The sequence below is a fragment of the Homo sapiens genome, chromosome 3, assembly GCF_000001405.40.
Source record: "Homo sapiens chromosome 3, GRCh38.p14 Primary Assembly".
Taxonomy (NCBI): domain Eukaryota; kingdom Metazoa; phylum Chordata; class Mammalia; order Primates; family Hominidae; genus Homo; species Homo sapiens.
In genome coordinates this window covers 186,899,792-186,917,197 of record NC_000003.12, presented here as the reverse complement: position 1 = coordinate 186,917,197, position 17,406 = coordinate 186,899,792, and the positions used below count along the sequence as shown (strand labels likewise).

Genomic DNA, 17,406 nt, shown 5'->3' with positions numbered 1-17,406 from the left:
TGTTATTTTATTAGTGAAATATTAAAAACTGCCTAAATAGCCACTGGGACCATTAAGTACAATTTGATGAATCCATAAATGAATTTCTTTGAATCCATTAAAAGATATTCAAACAATACTTAATGACAAATATGCTGAGATTATAATACTAAATTACCCCAAAAATCCCACATTATAGGCAGTATAATTTCAATTAAGTAAAAAAAAAAGTCCATTCCGATACGTAAAAGAAGAAAGGAAATACATATGCCAAAATACTAGAAGGAAAGAATATAAGTAACTTTGTTTCTTCTTTAAATCTTTCTTAATTTTTCAAATTGTCTACAAAGAGCATATATTATTTTACCAATTTTGTTTGTTTGTCATTGTGGTAAGGCATATGTAACATAAAATTTACCATTTTAAACATGTTACTTAATATTTTCGAAAGTCTTTTTGTATCTTTATCCAGCTAAGAAGACTCCCAGGCTCAGGGAGCTTGCTCAACTTACTGTTCTCTTGGAGTAGCCCTGGCAGGTGCTGTGAATGGAAGCACAGCCACTGATAGTGCCTAAATGCTGGACCCCTTCACCCTGGTAAATACCATTATGGTTTTGGAGCATGCAACCACCTGCTGAGGGTTGGCATTTCAGCCCTCTGGTGTGGGTAATAGTTCCTTCCTGAAGTCAGGGAGTTATGAGCTTGTCACGCTTGGAGAATGAACACCTCCTCCATCCCCAAACCTATCCATTCTGTCTCTGCTACTGCCCCACCCAAATGCAGCTTTCAGACATTTCCTCCAATGCTCAGGAAACAAGGGAGTTCCACGCAGGCTCCAGAATCCCCCCAAAATTCCTCTGTGCCTTCTGGAAAGTGTACAAAGCTGGGATGTGGAGACTCTTCCCCCAGTTCTGCAGGATCGTCCTCGTGCTGCGGCTTGTGTCATGAATCACCGCACAAATTAAAGAGAACACGTTGTGTAACAGAGCCTGGCCAGAGGGAAGAGCTACCTGGCCACAGGCCTGTGTGTCTGTTACATGCCCAGCTCCAATGGGGAAATGCCACCCTTGAAGCAGCTTCTCAGTTTCCTGTAGTTAGTTTCACCATTGCTTGTATCCATTCTCTTCCTTCTCTATTTTCATGTATCTAATTCATTTATCCAACAATCATTATTTATCTCTTGCTACATACTCGGCACCATGTTAGGGATGAGATACTGACACTGAAGATAACGGTAATAATCTTATTAACTGCCAAGCTCTGGGCTAAAAAGTTTTACCCGCACTATCTTATCTAAACCTTTAAACACACTCCACAAAAAACTCTTTTGCTTATTTTATAGATTATAAAGCTGAGGCTCTAGAAGAAGAAACCACTTGCACAAGAAAACTTCTGGATAAAGATGGCAAAATGACTCTAGATGACATAATCTCTCTCCTCCCAACATTTAACACAATGAACAGCAAAAGTAAAAGCAACAGAAAAAAAGTACCATCAATTTCCGCTTTTGGTATGGACAAATAAGCATCTACCAGATCCTGGTTTCCTACAGATAATACATATAAACTTTGGATGAAATAAACAAAGAAACAAACAAAAACAAAAAGCCTGAAGGCACTAAAGAGTAAACAGAAGCAGACAGAATCCGGGGGGAGTCAAAACTTGGATAAGTGAAATGGCAAGGGGTGAGTTTCCTATTTTTATAGTTTTGTAGCCTGAGCACAGGCTGAGGTTGGTACTATGTGGGATAGCTAAAACTCTAATACAGCATGCTAGAAAGCAGGAGGTGGGAGGATACTAGAAAGAAATGAGCCAGAGTAAGAAAGACCTGGATCCTGTGTATAAACTCTGATCAAGATTTGGGCAGATTCCTGAACCACACTCACATAAGGCATGCTCAAATCAGCCTACCTAATGGTAGTGAAAATGACCCAAGAGATAGAGTTTTGCAGTTTGAGCTCAGCTAAGTTAAGTGCTTGCTAAAACAAAACACCAGCATTCTCAGAAGAACATAATAGGACGTAGAATCTCCAGAACATCAAATTTATAATGCCTAAATATACTCGAAAATCACATACCATGCACAGAGCCAGAAAATATGATCCAAAGTTAAGAGAAAAAACAGCACAGAGCCAGAGAATATGATCCAGGATTAAGAGAAAAAACAATCAACTTGGGCCAACCCCAAGCAGCAGATAAGAACTCTCAAGCAGGTATTACAACTCATCTCAGCAAAGTAAAGGAAAGTATACTTTAATGAATGAAAGGCAGGAAATCTCAAACAAGAAATAGAAACTATGTAAAAAAGAACCAATGGAAACTTAAAACTGACAAATGCAATATTTTAAATTAAAAATTCACTGGATGGACTTGATTTAAAAAAAGAGAGAGAGAATTTTATAGCCATAGAAATTGTCCAATCTGATGACAAAAAAAGTTGAAAACATTGAACAGGGTCTCAGGGACCTGTAGTACAATATAAAAATACCTGCATACAGGTAATTGAATTCCAGAAGTAGAAGAGAGAATGAGACCAGAAAAAAAATTTTGAAGAACAAATGGCTTAAATGTTCCCCAATGTGTTGAAAGACATACATTTATAAATTAAAGTTCAGTGAACCCCAGGCAGCATACATGTAAATAAAGACACATATAGGCCTATCATAGTCAAACTGTTGAAAACTAAAGAGAGAATTTTGAAAGCAACCAGAGAAAAAAATGATACCTCACATAGTGGAGGAGTCATTTGAATCACTTCTGAATCCTCATGAGAAAATATGGAGGGCTAGGCACAGTGGCTCACGCCTGTAATCCCAGCACTCTGCGAAGCCGAGGCAGGTGGATTACCTGAGGACAGGAGTTTGAGACCAGCCTGGCCAACATAGTGAAACTTCATCTCTACTAAAAATACAAAAATTAGCCAGGCATGGTGGCACGCAGCTGTAGTCCCAGCTACTCGATAGGCTGAGGCAGGAAAATTGCTTGAACCCAGGAGGCGGAGGTTGCAGTGAGCCGAGATTGCACCACTGCGCTCCAGCTTGAGCAACAGAGAGAGACTCTGAAAAAAAAAAAAAAGAAAGAAAGATAGAGGAGGAGGGAGAGAGAGAGAAAGAGAGAGAGAAAAGAAAGAAGAGAGAAAGAAAGAAGAAAGAAAAGAGAAAGAAAGAAAGAAAGAAAGAAAGAAAGAAAGAAAGAAAGAGAAAGAAAGAAAGAAAGGGAAAGAAAGAAAGAGAAAAGAAAAGAGAAAATATGGAGACCAGAAGATAGTGGACCATCTTTAAAGTGTTTGCAGGGAGAGAAGGAAAGAACACCTGGCAATCTAGAATTCTATATTCGTTGAAAATATCCTTCCAAAATGACATTGCAAAAAATCTACCAGCAGCAAGGAAAGAGATTCAAGCTTATGCCTTAGCTGTCAAAAAGAAGTTGTCAGAGGAAGAAATATAAAGTTCTGGTGTGGTGACACAGGGATCATAATTTCATACTTACCTTTTCTAGAAGTAGTGTGAAGGGAAGTAGATACAATGGCAATATTTCTAATAATTTTTAGGAATCGCTCTCCCTGTTTCAATCTGCAGAGAATCTGACTGAGAGGATGAAAAGGAAGCTTGAAGAAAAGTCAAGACAAAATGCTTAGAAGCAGAAGCCACTACATACCACCATAGAAATTGCAGAACAGCCAGGGCCTGACAGCTTCCAGAGCATGTGCTGGCTTAGGGAAGGCACACAGGAGCGGGGTACAAAATTGGACATCTTAATGAGATCTCAGAAAGTGTCATGCCCAGGTCCTCTAGCAAGGGCTGTGCGCAGCTCCATGCCTTCCCTATGCCCTCAAATTACGGAAATGTAGACAGCAAGCAGCCCCTGTAGTCCTGATGGAAAGACTACTGGGTTTTTTTTTGTTTTTTTTTTTTGAGACGGAGTCTCGCTCTGTCGCCCAGGCTGGAGTGCAGTGGCGGGATCTCGGCTCACTGCAAGCTCCGCCTCCCGGGTTCACGCCATTCTCCTGCCTCAGCCTCCCAAGTAGCTGGGACTACAGGCGCGCGCCACTACGCCCGGCTAATTTTTTTTGTGTGTTTTTAGTAGAGACGGGGTTTCACCGTTTTAGCCAGGATGGTCTCGATCTCCTGACCTCGTGATCCGCCCGCCTCGGCCTCCCAAAGTGCTGGGATTACAGGCGTGAGCCACCGCGCCCGGCGACTACTGGGTTTTACACATGATAGAAGGGCTTCAAGGAGAAGTCACCCACATATAACCAAATAATGGAACGAGATTACCAAACCGTCTGTGTCAATCACGGGCTAGATAACAAAAAGAAACAGGGCAGAAGCTATGAAAGCATTCGATATAGAGAAAAGTAATCCAATCTGGAAGAAAACGTAGCCCAAGCCAAGGAACAGTGCAATACTCATTGTGAATTTATCACTCTTCAGACATATATCACATTCTAATAAAGTATACGATTTTAACAAAATAAGAACACAAAGACAAAAGGATAAAATAACAGCATAAGATTAAAAGGGAGATTAAAGTACTAAAGAAACAAGTTGTGTAGCAAAATCCCAATTTACATCTAACAAATAACCTAGAAAAATAACCAAGTAACACAATAGAACCAACCGAGCATCAAATTATTTTTGTGGAAGGAAGGCTTGGTATAATCATAATGAAAATAGAAAGAAAGGATAAGGAATTTAAGACATGTAAAGAATAGATGATAAAAACCACCTAACATAACAACTACTACTGTCCTGGAAATAAGAGTTACAACAATTAACTAGGGAAATTATCTAGAAATGTAATACAGGAAAATCTCTCCAAAGTGATTCTGTTTTTCACTCAAGAAGATGCATTGTTTTCCAACAATATTGGTTGAAAAAAGATATTTAGGCGTATGCCTGTTAAAGTTGAAGGCAAAAAAAAAAATTCTTTAAATATTCAGAAAGAAAAATCCAGTCACCTCTCAGGGTTTTTTAAAAAATCAGATTTTTCTCTAAAGAGCAGTGCAATGTGGCCGGGTTTGGTGGCTCACGCCTGTAATCCCAGCACTTTGGGAGGCCGACGCGGGTGGATCACGAGGTCAGGAGATCGAGACCATCCTGGCTAACACCGTGAAACCCCGTCTCTACTAAAAATACAAAAAATTAGCCAGGCGTGGTGGCGGGCGCCTGTAGTCCCAGCTACTCAGGAGGCTGAGGCAGGAGAATGGCGTGAACCCGGAAGGCAGAGCTTGCACTGAGCCGAGATCGCACCACTGCACTCCAGCCTGGGCAACAGAGCGAGACTAAATTAGACGGCTAATTTTTTGTATTTTTAGTAGAGACGGGGTTTCACCGTGTTAGCCAGGATGGTCTCGATCTCCTGACTTCGTGATACACCCACCTCAGCCTCCCAAAGTGCTGGGATTACAGGCATGAGCCACCACGCTCAGCCTAGTTTCTATTTCTTTAAATTAACTGTGTGAAGCCAATCAAACTGCCTGTGTAGGTTAATATATAGCCTGCTGGACCCAGGGTGGGGCCCTGCTTAAAGGGTTTAAAAGAGTAGCCAATATCCCAATATCTCTCATGGTAAAGAAACATTACCTGAATCTCAGCAATCCTTTTTTCACTTTTTTTTTTCTTTTTTTGAGACGGAGTCTTGCTCTGTCGCCCAGGCTGGAGTGTAGTGGTGCATTCTCGGCTCACTGCCACCTCCACCTCCCAGGCTCAAGTATTTCTGCTGCCACAACCTCCCGAGTAGCTGGAATTATGGGAGCATGCCACCACGCCTGGCTAATTTTTGTAATTTAGTAGAGTTGGAGTTTTGCCATGTTGGCCAGGCTGGTTTCGAACTCCTGATCCACCTGTCTCGGCCTCCCAAACTGCTGGGATTACAGGTGTGTGTGCCACTGCGTCAGGACCTCTTTTTTCACTTTTAAACAACAGAATATAGAATATAATCCTAGGTTATTAGTTTTGAATTTATTTATGTATCATTCTAACATACAAATCCACTTGGAAATATCTATAAGCATGCTCACAAATTTTAATTTTATTTCTAAATGGTGGGATATGGAGGTAATTTATTGTTTTCTTCTTTCTACTTTTCTGGATATCATGTTATCACTTTGGTTAAAAAACAAAAAAAGCCCAACAACCATTTTTTTGAGCAAGAGAAATGGGAAACTTGTTTAAATTCGCATAGATTGAAGCTGGGATGGGAACTCGTATCTTCCAAACTTTAAAAACTACGAACCTGGCCGGGCATGGTGGCTCATACGTGTAATCCCAACACTTTGAGAGGCCGAGACAGGTGGATCACTTGAGGTCAGGAATTCAAGACCAGCCAGGCCAACATGGTGAAACCCTGTCTCTACTAAAAATACAAAAATTAGCTGGGCATGGTGGCACATGCTGTAATCCTAGCTACTTGGGAAGCTGAGTCAGGAGAATCGCTTGAGCCCAGGAGGTGGAGGTTGCAGTGAGTCGAGATCACACCACTGCACTCTAGCCTGGTTACAGAATGAGACTCACTCTCAAAAAACAAATAAATAGGCTGGATGCGGTGGCTTACACTGGTAATCCCAGCACTTTGGGAGGTCAGGGCGGGAGGATCACCTGAGGTCAGGAATTCGAGACCAGCCTGACCAACATGGAGAAACCCCATCTCTACTAAAAATACAAAATTAGCTGAGCGTGGTAGCACATGCCTGTAATCCCAGCTATTCAGGAGGCTGAGGCAGGAGAATTGCTTGAACCCGGGAGGCGAAGTTTGCAGTGAGCTGAGATCGCACCATCGCACTCCAGCCTGGGAGACAAGAGTGAAACTCCATCTCAAAAATAAATAAATAAATAAATAAATAGAAAGAAAAAGAAAAACTATGAACCTTACTGCTCTCTTACCTCCCATACCCTGAGGTTAAGGAACTTGAAGACTTAATATGATTAATAAATTAATATGCCAGAAATTACGATGCATTTAAAGTGCTTGACACAGTGTCCAGCAAGTAGTGCATAGATGTTCGCTGTTATAATAATGGTAATTATCTTTATTTAATACTATAATATGATATTAAAAATGTTATGATAGGCCAGGCGCAATGGCTCATGCCTGTAATCCCAGCACTTCGGGAGGCCGAGGCGGGTGGATCACCTGAGGTCAGGAGTTCAAGACCAGCCTGGCCAACATGGGGAAACCTCGCCTCTACTGAAAATGAAAAAAAAATTGGTGCTGGCAAGATGGCCGAATAGGAAAAGCTCCGGTCTGCAGCTCCCAGTGAGATCATGCAGAAGGCAGGAGATTTCTTCATTTCCAACTGAGGTACCCAGTTCATCTCACAGGGACTGGTTGGATAGTGGGTGCAGCCCACGAAGAGCGAGCCAAAGCAGGGTGGGGTGTAGCCTCACCCAGGAAGCACAGGAAGCACAAGCGGTCGGGGGATTTGCCTCCCCTAGCCAAGGGAAGCCGTGAGGGACTGTGCCGTGGCCAACAGAGCACTCTGGCCCAGATACTGTGCTTTTCACATGGTCTTTGCAACCTGCAGACCAGGAGATTCCCTCCAGTTGCCCATGCCACCAGGGCCCTGGATTTCAAGCACAAAACCGGGTGGCCGTTTGGGCAGACATTGAGCTAGCTACAGGAGTTGTTTTTTCATACCCCAGAGGCACCTGGAATGCCAGCGAGACAGAACCGTTCACTCCCCTGGAAAGGGGGCTGAAGCCTGGGAACCAAGTGTTCTAGCTCAGAGGGTCCCACCCCCACGGAGCCCAGCAAGCTAAGATCCACTGGCTTGAGATTCTCGCTGCCAGCGCAGCAGTCTGAAGTTGACCTGGGACATTCAAGCTTCGTCGGGGGAGGAGCATCCGCCATTGCTGAGGCTTGGGTAGGTGGTTTTACCCTCACAGTGTAAACAAAACCGCCAGGAAGTTCAAACTGGGTGGAGCCCACCGCAGCTCAGCAGGGCCACTGTAGCCAGACTGCCTCTCTAGATTCCTCCTCTCTGGGCAGCACATCTCTGAAAAAAAGGCAGCAGCCCCAGTCAGGGACTTACAGATAAAACCCCCATCTCCCTGGGACAGAGCACCTGAGGGAAAGGGCAGCTGTGGGTGCAGCTTCAGCAGACTCAAACGTCCCTGCCTGATGGCTCTGAAGAGAGCAGTGGACCTCCCAGCACAGCGTTCGAGCTCTGATAAGGGTCATACTGCCTCCTCAAGTGGGTCCCTGACCCCTGTGTATCCTGACTGGAAGACACCTCCCAGTAGGGGCCGACAGACACCTCATACAGGAGAGCTCTGGCTGGCATCTGGCAGGTGTCCCTCTGGGACAAAGCTTCCAGAGGAAGAAACAGGCAGCAATCTGCTGTTCTGCAGCCTCTGCTGGTGATATCCAGGCAAACAGGGTCTGGTGTGGACCTCCAGCAAACTCCAGCAGACCTGCAGCAGAGGGGCCTGACTGTTAGGAGGAAAACTAACAAACAGAAAAGAATAGCATCAACATCAACAAAGAGGATGTCCACACAAAAACCCCATCCGAAGGTCACCAACATCCAAGACCAAAGGTAGATAAATCCATGAAGATGGGGATAAACCAGCACAAAAAGGCTGAAAATTCCAAAAACCAGAATGCCTATTCTCCTCCAAAGGATCACAACTCTTTGCCAGCAAGGGAACAAATCTGGACGGAGAATGGGTTTGACGAATTGACAGAAGTAGGCTTTAGAAGATGGGTAATAACAAATTCCTCCGAGTTAAAGGAGCATGTTCTAATCCAATGCAAGGAAGCTAAGAACCTTGAAAAAAGGTTAGATGAATTGCTAACTAGAATAACTAGTTTATAGAAGAACATAAATGACCTGATGGAGCTAAAAAACACAGCACCAGAACTTCGTGAAGCATACACAAGTATCAATAGCCTAATCAATCAAGCAGAAGAAAGGATATCACAGATTGAAGATGAACTTAATGAAATAAAGTGAGAAGACAAGATTTGTTATAATTATCATTATTTAATACTATAGTATTTTCAAAGAATGAAAAGAAACAAACAAAGCCTCCAAGAAATATGGGACTATGTGAAAAGACCAAATCTACGTTTCATTGGTGTACCTGAAAGTGATGGGGAGAATGGAACCAAGTTGGAACACACTCTTCAGGATATTATGCAGGAGAACTTCCCCAACCTAGCAAGGCAGGCCAACATTCAAATTCAGGTAATACAGAGAACACCATAAAGATACTCCTCCAGAAGAGCAACCCCAAGACACACAATCGTCAAATTCACCAAGGTTGACATGAAGGAAAAAATGTTAAGGCAGCCAGAGAGAAAGGTCGGCTTACCCACAAAGGGAAAACCATCAGACTAACAGCGGATCTCTCAGCAGAAACCCTACAAGCCAGAAGAGAATGGGGGCCAATATTCAACATTCTTGAAGAATTTTCAACCAAGAATTTCATATCCAGCCAAACTGAGCTTCATAAGTGAAGAAGTAAAATCCTTTTCAGACAAGCAAATGCTGAGAGATTTTGTCACCACCAGGCCTGCCTTACAAGAGCTCCTGAAGGAAGCACTAAATGTGGAAAGGAACAACCGGTACCAGCCACTGCAAAAACATACCAAATTGTAAAGACCATCGACACTATGAAGAAACTGCACCAACTAACAGGCAAAATAACCAGCTAGCACCATAATGACAGAATTAAATTTACACATAACAATATTAACCTTAAATGTAAACGGGCTAAATGCCCCGATTAAAAGACACAGACTGGCAAATTGGATAAAGAGTCAAGATCCATCAATGGTGCTGTATTCAGGAGACCCATCTCATGTGCAGAGACACACATAGGCTCAAAAGAAAGGGATGGAAGAATATTTACCAAGCAAATGGAAAGCAAAAAAAAGCAGGGGTTGAAGTCCTAGTCTCTGATAAAACAGACTTTAAACCAACAAAGATCAAAAGAGACAATGAAGGGTATTACACAATCGTAAAGAAATCAATGCAACAAGAAGGGCTAACTACGCTAAATATATATGCACCCAATACGGGAGCACCCAGATTCATAAAGCAAGTTCTTAGAGACCTACAAAGAAACTTAGACTCCCACACAATAATAATGGGAGACTTTAACACTCCACTGTCAATATTAGACAGATCAATGAGACAAAATTAACAAGGATATTCAGGACTTGAACTCAGCTCTGGAACAATAGACCTAATAGATATCTACAGAACTCTCCACCCAAAATAAACAGAATATACATTCTTCTCAGCACCACATCACACTTATTCTAAAATTGACCACATAATTGAAAGTAAAGCACTCCTCAGCAAATGCAAAAGAACGGAAGTCGTAACAGTCTCTCGGACCACAGTGCAATCAAATTAAAACTCAGGATTAAGAAACTCACTAAAAACCACACAACTACATGGAAACTGAACAACCTGCTCCTGAATGACTACTGGGTAAATAATGAAATTAAGGCAGAAATAAAGATGTACTTTGAAACCAATGAGAACAAACACACAACATACCAGAATCTCTGGGACACATTTAAAGCAGTGTTTAAAGGGAAATTTATAGCACTAAATGCCCACAAGAGAAAGCAGGAACGATCTAAACTTTACACCCTAACATCACAATTAAAATAACTAGAGAAGCAAGGGCAAACAAATTCAACAGCTAGCAGAAGACAAGAAATAGCTAAGATCAGAGCAGAACTGAAGGAGATAAAGACACAAAAACACCTTCAAAAAAATAAATGAATCCAGAAGCTGGTTTTTTGAAAAGATCAACAAAACAGATAGACTGCTAGCCAGACTAATAAAGAAGAAAAGAGAGAAGAATCAAACAGAAGCAATAAAAAATGATAAAGGGGATATCACCACTGATCCCACAGAAATACAAGCTACCATCAGAGAATACTATAAACACCACTGTGCAAATAAACTAGAAAATCTAGAAGAAATGGATAAATTCCTGGACACATACACCCTTTCAAGACTAAACCAGGAAGAAGTCGAGTCCCTGAATAGACCAATAACAGGCTCTGAAATTGAGGCAGTAATTAATAATCTACCAACCAAAAAAAATCCAGAATCAGACGGATTCACAGCCGAATTCTACCAGAGGTACAACGAGGAGCTGGTACCATTCCTTTTGAAATGATTCCAAACAATAGAAAAAGAGGGAATCCTCCCTAACTCATTTTATGAGGCCAGCATCATCCTGATACCAAAACTTGGCAGAGACACAACAAAAAAAAAGAACATTACAGGCCAATATTCCTGATGAACATCCATGCGAAAATCCTCAATAAAATACTGGCAAACCAAACCCAACAGCACATCAAAAAGCTTATCCACCAAGATCAAGTTGGCTTCATCCCTGGGATGCGAGGCTGTTTAAACATATGCAAATCAATAAACGTACTCCATCACATAAACAGAACCAATGACAAAAACCACATGATTATCTCAATAGATGCAGAAAAGGCCTTCGATAAAATACAATAGCCTTTCAGGCTAAAAACTCTCAATAAACTTGGTATTGATGGAACGTATTTCAAAATAATAAGAGCTATTTATGACAAACCCACAGCCAATATCATACTGAATGGGGAAAAACTGGAAGCATTCCCTTTGAAAACCGGCACAAGACAAGCATGCCCTCTCTTACCACTCCTATTCAACATAATATTGGAAGTTCTGGCCAGGGCAATTGGACAAGAGAAAGAAATAAAGTGTATTCAATTAGGAAATGAAGAAGTCAAATTGTCTCTGTTTGCAGATGACATGATTGTATATTTAGAAAACCCCATTATCTCAGCCCAATATCTCCTTAAGCTGATAAGCAACTTCAGCAAAGTCTCAGGATACAAAATCAATGTACAAAAATCACAAGCATTCGTATACACCAATAACAGACAAACAGAGAGCCATTCACAATTGCTACAAAAAGAATAAAATACCTAGGAATCCAACTTACAAGGGATGTGAAGGACCTCTTCAAGGAGAACTACAAATCACTGCTCAATGAAATAAGAGAGGACACAAACAAATGGAAGAACATTCCATGCTCATGGATAAGAAGAATCAATATCGTTAAAAAGGCCATACTGCCCAAAGTAATTTATAGATTCAGTGCTGTCCCCATCAAGCTACCATTGACTTTCTTCAAAAAATTGGAAAAAAACTAGTATGAATTTCATATGAAACTAAAAAAGAGCCCACATTGCCAAGACAATCCTAAGCAAAAAGAACAAAGCTGGAGGCATCACATTACCTGACTTCAAACTATACTACAAGGCTACAGTAACCAAAACAGCATGGTACTGATACCAAAACAGATATATAGACTAATGGAACAGAACAGAGGCCTCAGAGATAATACCACACATCTACAAGCATCTGATCTTTGACAAACCTGACAAAAACAAGCAATGGAGAAAGGATTCCCTATTTCATAAATGGTGTTGGGAAAACTGGCTAGCCACATGCAGAAAACTGAAACTGGATCCCTTCCTTACACCTTATACAAAAATTAAGTCAAGATGAATTAAAGACTTAAACATAAGACCTAAAACCATAAAAACCCTAGAAGAAAACCTAGGCAATACCATTCAGGACATAGGCATGGGCAAAGACTTCATGACTAAAACACCAAAAGCAATGGCAACAAAAGCCAAAATTAACAAATGGGATCTAATTAAACTAAACAGCTTCTGCACAGCAGAAGAAACTATCATCAGAGTGAACAGGCAACCTACAGAATGGGAGAAAATTTTTGCAATCTATCCATCTGACAAAGGGCTAATATCCAGAATCTACAACGAACTTTAACAAATTTACAAGAATAAAACAACCCCATCAAAAAGTGGGCAAAGGATATGAACAGACACTCCTCAAAAGAAGACATTTATGCAGCCAACAAACATATGAAGAAAAGCTCATCATCACTGGTCATTTGAGAAATGCAAATCAAAAGCACAGTGAGATACCATCTCATGCCAGTTAGAATGGCAATCATTAAAAAGTCAGGAAACAACAGATGCTGGGGAGGATGTGGAGAAATAGGAATGCTTTTACATTGTTGATGGGAGTGTAAATTAATTCAACCATTGTGGAAGACAGTGTGGTGGTTCCTCAAGGATTTAGAATTAGAAATACTAATTGACCCAGCAATCCCATTACTGAGTATACACCCAAAGGATTAAAAATAATTCTACTATGAAGACATACGCACATGTATGTTTATTGTGGCACTGTTCACAATAGCAAAGATTTGGAACCAACCCAAATGCCCATCAATGATCGACTGGATAAAGAAGATGTGGCACATATACACCATGGAATACTATGCAGCCATAAAAAAGGATGAGTTCTTGTCCTTTGCAGGGACATGGATGAAGCTGGAAACCATCATTCTCAGCAACCTAACACAAGAACAGAAAACCAAACACCACATGTTCTCACTCATAAGTGGTAGCTGAACAATCAGAACACATGGACACAGGGAGGGGAACATCACATACTGAGACCTGCCAGGGGTTGCAGGGAGTAAAGGAGGGATAGCATTAGGAGAAATACTTAACGTAGATTATGGGTTGATGGGTGTAGCAAACCACCATGGCACATGTATACCTATGTAACAAACCTGCACATTCTGCACATGTACCCCAGAACGTAAAGTATAATAATTTTAAAAAATAGAAAAAAAATAGCTGGACATGGTAGTGTGCACCTGTAGTCCCAGCTACTTGGGAGGATGGGGCTGGAGATTTGCTTGAACCTGGGAGGTGGAGTTTGCAGTGAGCCAAGATCGTGCCACTGCACTCCCGTCCAGGCAACAGAGCAAGACTCTGTCTCAAAAAAAAAAAAAAAAAATGCTATAATAGAACTAAGCACACGATGTCATGGAAATATAGAGAAGGAAAATCTGCTAATCCTTTTGATGAACCAGGAAGATGATCCAGGGTGTCTTCCTGGAGGAGATAACAGACGCTGACTTTTAAAAGTAAGTAAAGATTTAGCCAGATAAAAAGTGAGGAGATGAGGATATTCCTGGCAGGGAGAACAGCATGATAGATTAAGAGAACTGGTCTGGCTGAATTGGAAGACATGTGGAGAATATGGCTGGAGAACAGGTGGAAAACATAAGTCATTGCTAGATGAAGAGTTTACATCATATGTCCTATGCTAAGGAGTTTAGACCTTAAAGCCAGTGGGAACTCACTGAAGGGTATTAAGCAGAAGAATGTCCCACTGATACTTTTCTGAACGCTCACTCTGGCTGTGTGGAAGACTGATAGAAGGGGACAGCTTTGGAGAGAGAGAGAACTGGTTATGGTGATGATTACTGTAACAGTCTTCCTAAGAACTCATGAGTCCTAAGGCAGAGGTAGAGTTGGTGGAGAGTTCTTTAGGACCGTGGTTATCAAAATATGGTCTACAGACACTTTCAGGGGGTCCATGAGGTCACAACTATTTTCACAATTACAGTAAGATCATATTTGGGTTTTTCACTGTGTTGACATTTGCACTAATAGTGCAAAAGAAATAATGGGTAAAACTGTTAGTGTCTTAGTACAATGAGGCACTAAAGTCCACTAGTAGTCTTGCGTGCTTCACCACCATCAACTCACAGGGAAAAAAAAGTTTTTTAAATATCCTTTATGAAGCAATAAATATTATTAATTTTTATTAAGTCTTTACCTTTGAGTACATATCCTTTTTTTTCTATCATTCCTGAATCACCAGCCTCCTTTTTTTTTTTTTAGGTAGGGTTTTTGCTCGATTGCTCAGGCTGGAATGCAGTGGCGTGATCTCAGCTCCCTGCAGCTTTGACTTCCTGGGCTCAAGCAATTCTCCCACCTCAACCTTCCTGGTAGTTGGGACCACAGGCATGCACCACCAGGCCCAGCTAATTTTTGTTTGTTTGTTTTGTAAAGACAGGGTCTCACTCTGTTGCCCAGATTGGTCTCAAACTCCTGGGCTCAAGTAATCTGCCTGCCTCAGCCTCTCAAAATGCTGGGATTACAGGCATGAGCCACTGTGCCCACAACCTTTTAATACTCTGTGTGATGCGATATACGAAGGATATACAAAGCATTTTAGTTGCAGAGTAAAATATGATGATTGTCCCAAGGAAGAGCGCTTTTGTAGTTAAGTTATGAACTGAACTAACCGTTTTATTTTTTTATGGAACATGAAAAAAACTTTTATATTAAAAGTTTTACCATACTTTTAACTTCTAGTATGGTAAATATGATTTCACCTGAAAGAAAATTACTAGTATAAACTAGGGTTATCAGACTTGCATATTTGGGAGACGTTTTCTTAAAAGTCAATAAAGTGAACCTCTCACTTCAAGAATAACAAATTTTTCTAGTTTTTATTTTAGTGTTTGTTACTAGTTGTATTTTTTGCCAATGATGAAAACTAAGTTTTCAGGTAAAAATTAGAATTTTGGAAGACTTGTACCCACCCCTGTGAATCTGACAGGTTCCCAATTCTTGAACATTTTTCTGATGACACTAATGGGTGTTGTGGGTTGAATTGTGGCTCCAAAAAAGACATGTTGAAGTCCTAATTTTTTATATCTATGATTGTGACCTTGGCAAACAGGGTTTTCAGATACACTTGAGTTACCATGAGGTCATACTGGATTAGAGGAGGCCCCAAATTCAATGAACTGGTGTTATGAGTATAAATTTGGATACAGAAATGTAGCCACACCCAAGGAAGTAGGCCTGTGAAAACAGAGGCAGAAACTGATGTAATGCAGCTACAAGCCAAGAAATACCAAGGACTTCACACCACCACCAGAAACTCAGAGAGGGGCATGAAAGGATTCTCCTTTAGCCCTTTAAGGAGGAAACCACCCTGCCAACATCTTGATCTCAGACTTCCAGCCTTCAGAAATGTGACAGAATAGATTTCTGTTATTATAAAAAACTACACAATTTGTGGTACTCTGTTACGGCAGCCCTACAAAGCAATACAGTGGTGCAAACATCAAATGTGATTACTTGATATTTAGAGGGAAATGGGTCAATGTCAGGAAGGTATACATGACTCAGTGAATAAAATTTTCAAAGCCCAGCACACAATGTCACAAGGTCATGCATTAAGGGGTAAAAGATTCATTCAAAGTATAAAATAACCCAGTAGATTTTAATATAACAGAGTACAAAAAATTCACTGATATGATTTCAGAATCTACTTTACAGCTAACCTTTAAGAAACTACCACTTGTTGAGCTTTGGTGTAGCAACAAAAGAAGTATCTACAATTACCTAAAAATGATGTTAAAACTCCCCTACCTTTTCCATCTACTTACCTGTTTGAGGATGAATTTTTCTCTGTATACTTCAAACAAAATCATTGCATTTTGGTTGCAACTGAATATATTGCAAGAGAAGCAGATATTGTAATTCAGCTCCTTCTGTTAAGCGACATTAAGAGATTTACAAAAATGTAAAGCAGTGCAACTCTTCTTATTTTTTTTGTTTTGGAAAATAGTTTTCTAATAGAAATGTTAGTGTTAATGTGTCAATGTGTGATTCTTGTAAATATGTGGTGGGCTTATTAGTTATGTCAATATGTGATGGGTTTATTATTTTAAATAAATATATATATATATTTTTTAACAACTGGTAATCAATTTATTAAAATAGTTGACTTAAGCATCTGCAATGGTGACTTCCACCTCAACTCCTGGCTCAGTACTGATGGAAGTAATCTGCTTAACAATCTCAGAAGGACTGTGCAAGTCAAAGAGTCGCTTGTGAATTCTCATCTGGAAACGATCCCACGTCTTAGAACCTTCACCACAAGGAGTTTTTCTTGTAGTGATTCTCAAAGTCTTGGAAGGCATTCGAACTCCTCCTTTCACTTTGAGATTCTTTGCTTTTGCGCCTCTGATCAAGTCAGCACCCACCTTTTCCAAGGATTTTACGCTGCGGCTTGTTAGGGTGATTCGAATTCGGTGAATTGCCACCTCCGGCTCCACGGGTGCTTTTCCGGTATCCTTAAAAGCCATGGCTGCTGCGCGGCTTCATGACCGACTTGTTCCTCGGCGGCGAGAGCGAACAGCGGTGAGTCAGGAGCAGGAGCATGCGGACCAGAAATCCTCGCACCTACGACCGCGTCTTCCTCTTAAAGAAATATTTTTAAATTTTTTATTTTAGCTTCTAGTATGGTAAATATCTATAAATATGGCTCATTTACATAGAGTCTCTTTGAGATACCAATGATTTTTAAGAGTGTAAAAGGATTCAGAGACCAAAGTTTGAGACTCACTAGTTTAAAAGGTAGAAATAATGGCTGGGTGTGGTGGCTCACACCTGTAATGCCAACATTTTGAGAGGCTGAGGTGGGAGGATCACTTGAGGCCAGGAGTTTGAGATAGCCTGGGCAACATAGCAAGATCACCAGATCACCACACA

The 17,406-nt window shown here is 40.9% G+C and overlaps 1 pseudogene, besides 4 other annotated features; it reads right to left on the bottom strand.

Annotated features, from left to right (window-relative positions):
* Positions 6,875 to 7,569: an enhancer, noted in NCBI's record as "H3K27ac-H3K4me1 hESC enhancer chr3:186627418-186628112 (GRCh37/hg19 assembly coordinates)". NCBI's record gives its function as "activates a minimal SCP1, AML or CMV promoter by ChIP-STARR-seq in primed H9 embryonic stem cells {active_cell/tissue: H9 hESC(primed)}" and the evidence as "EXISTENCE:reporter gene assay evidence [ECO:0000049][PMID:30033119]".
* Positions 7,570 to 8,265: an enhancer, noted in NCBI's record as "H3K27ac-H3K4me1 hESC enhancer chr3:186626722-186627417 (GRCh37/hg19 assembly coordinates)". NCBI's record gives its function as "activates a minimal SCP1, AML or CMV promoter by ChIP-STARR-seq in primed H9 embryonic stem cells {active_cell/tissue: H9 hESC(primed)}" and the evidence as "EXISTENCE:reporter gene assay evidence [ECO:0000049][PMID:30033119]".
* Positions 7,588 to 7,637: an enhancer, noted in NCBI's record as "active region_20945". NCBI's record gives its function as "activates an Ori minimal core promoter by ATAC-STARR-seq in GM12878 lymphoblastoid cells {active_cell/tissue: GM12878}" and the evidence as "EXISTENCE:reporter gene assay evidence [ECO:0000049][PMID:35858748]".
* Positions 7,708 to 7,807: an enhancer, noted in NCBI's record as "active region_20944". NCBI's record gives its function as "activates an Ori minimal core promoter by ATAC-STARR-seq in GM12878 lymphoblastoid cells {active_cell/tissue: GM12878}" and the evidence as "EXISTENCE:reporter gene assay evidence [ECO:0000049][PMID:35858748]".
* On the bottom strand, positions 16,605 to 17,122 carry RPS20P14 (ribosomal protein S20 pseudogene 14; annotated as a pseudogene).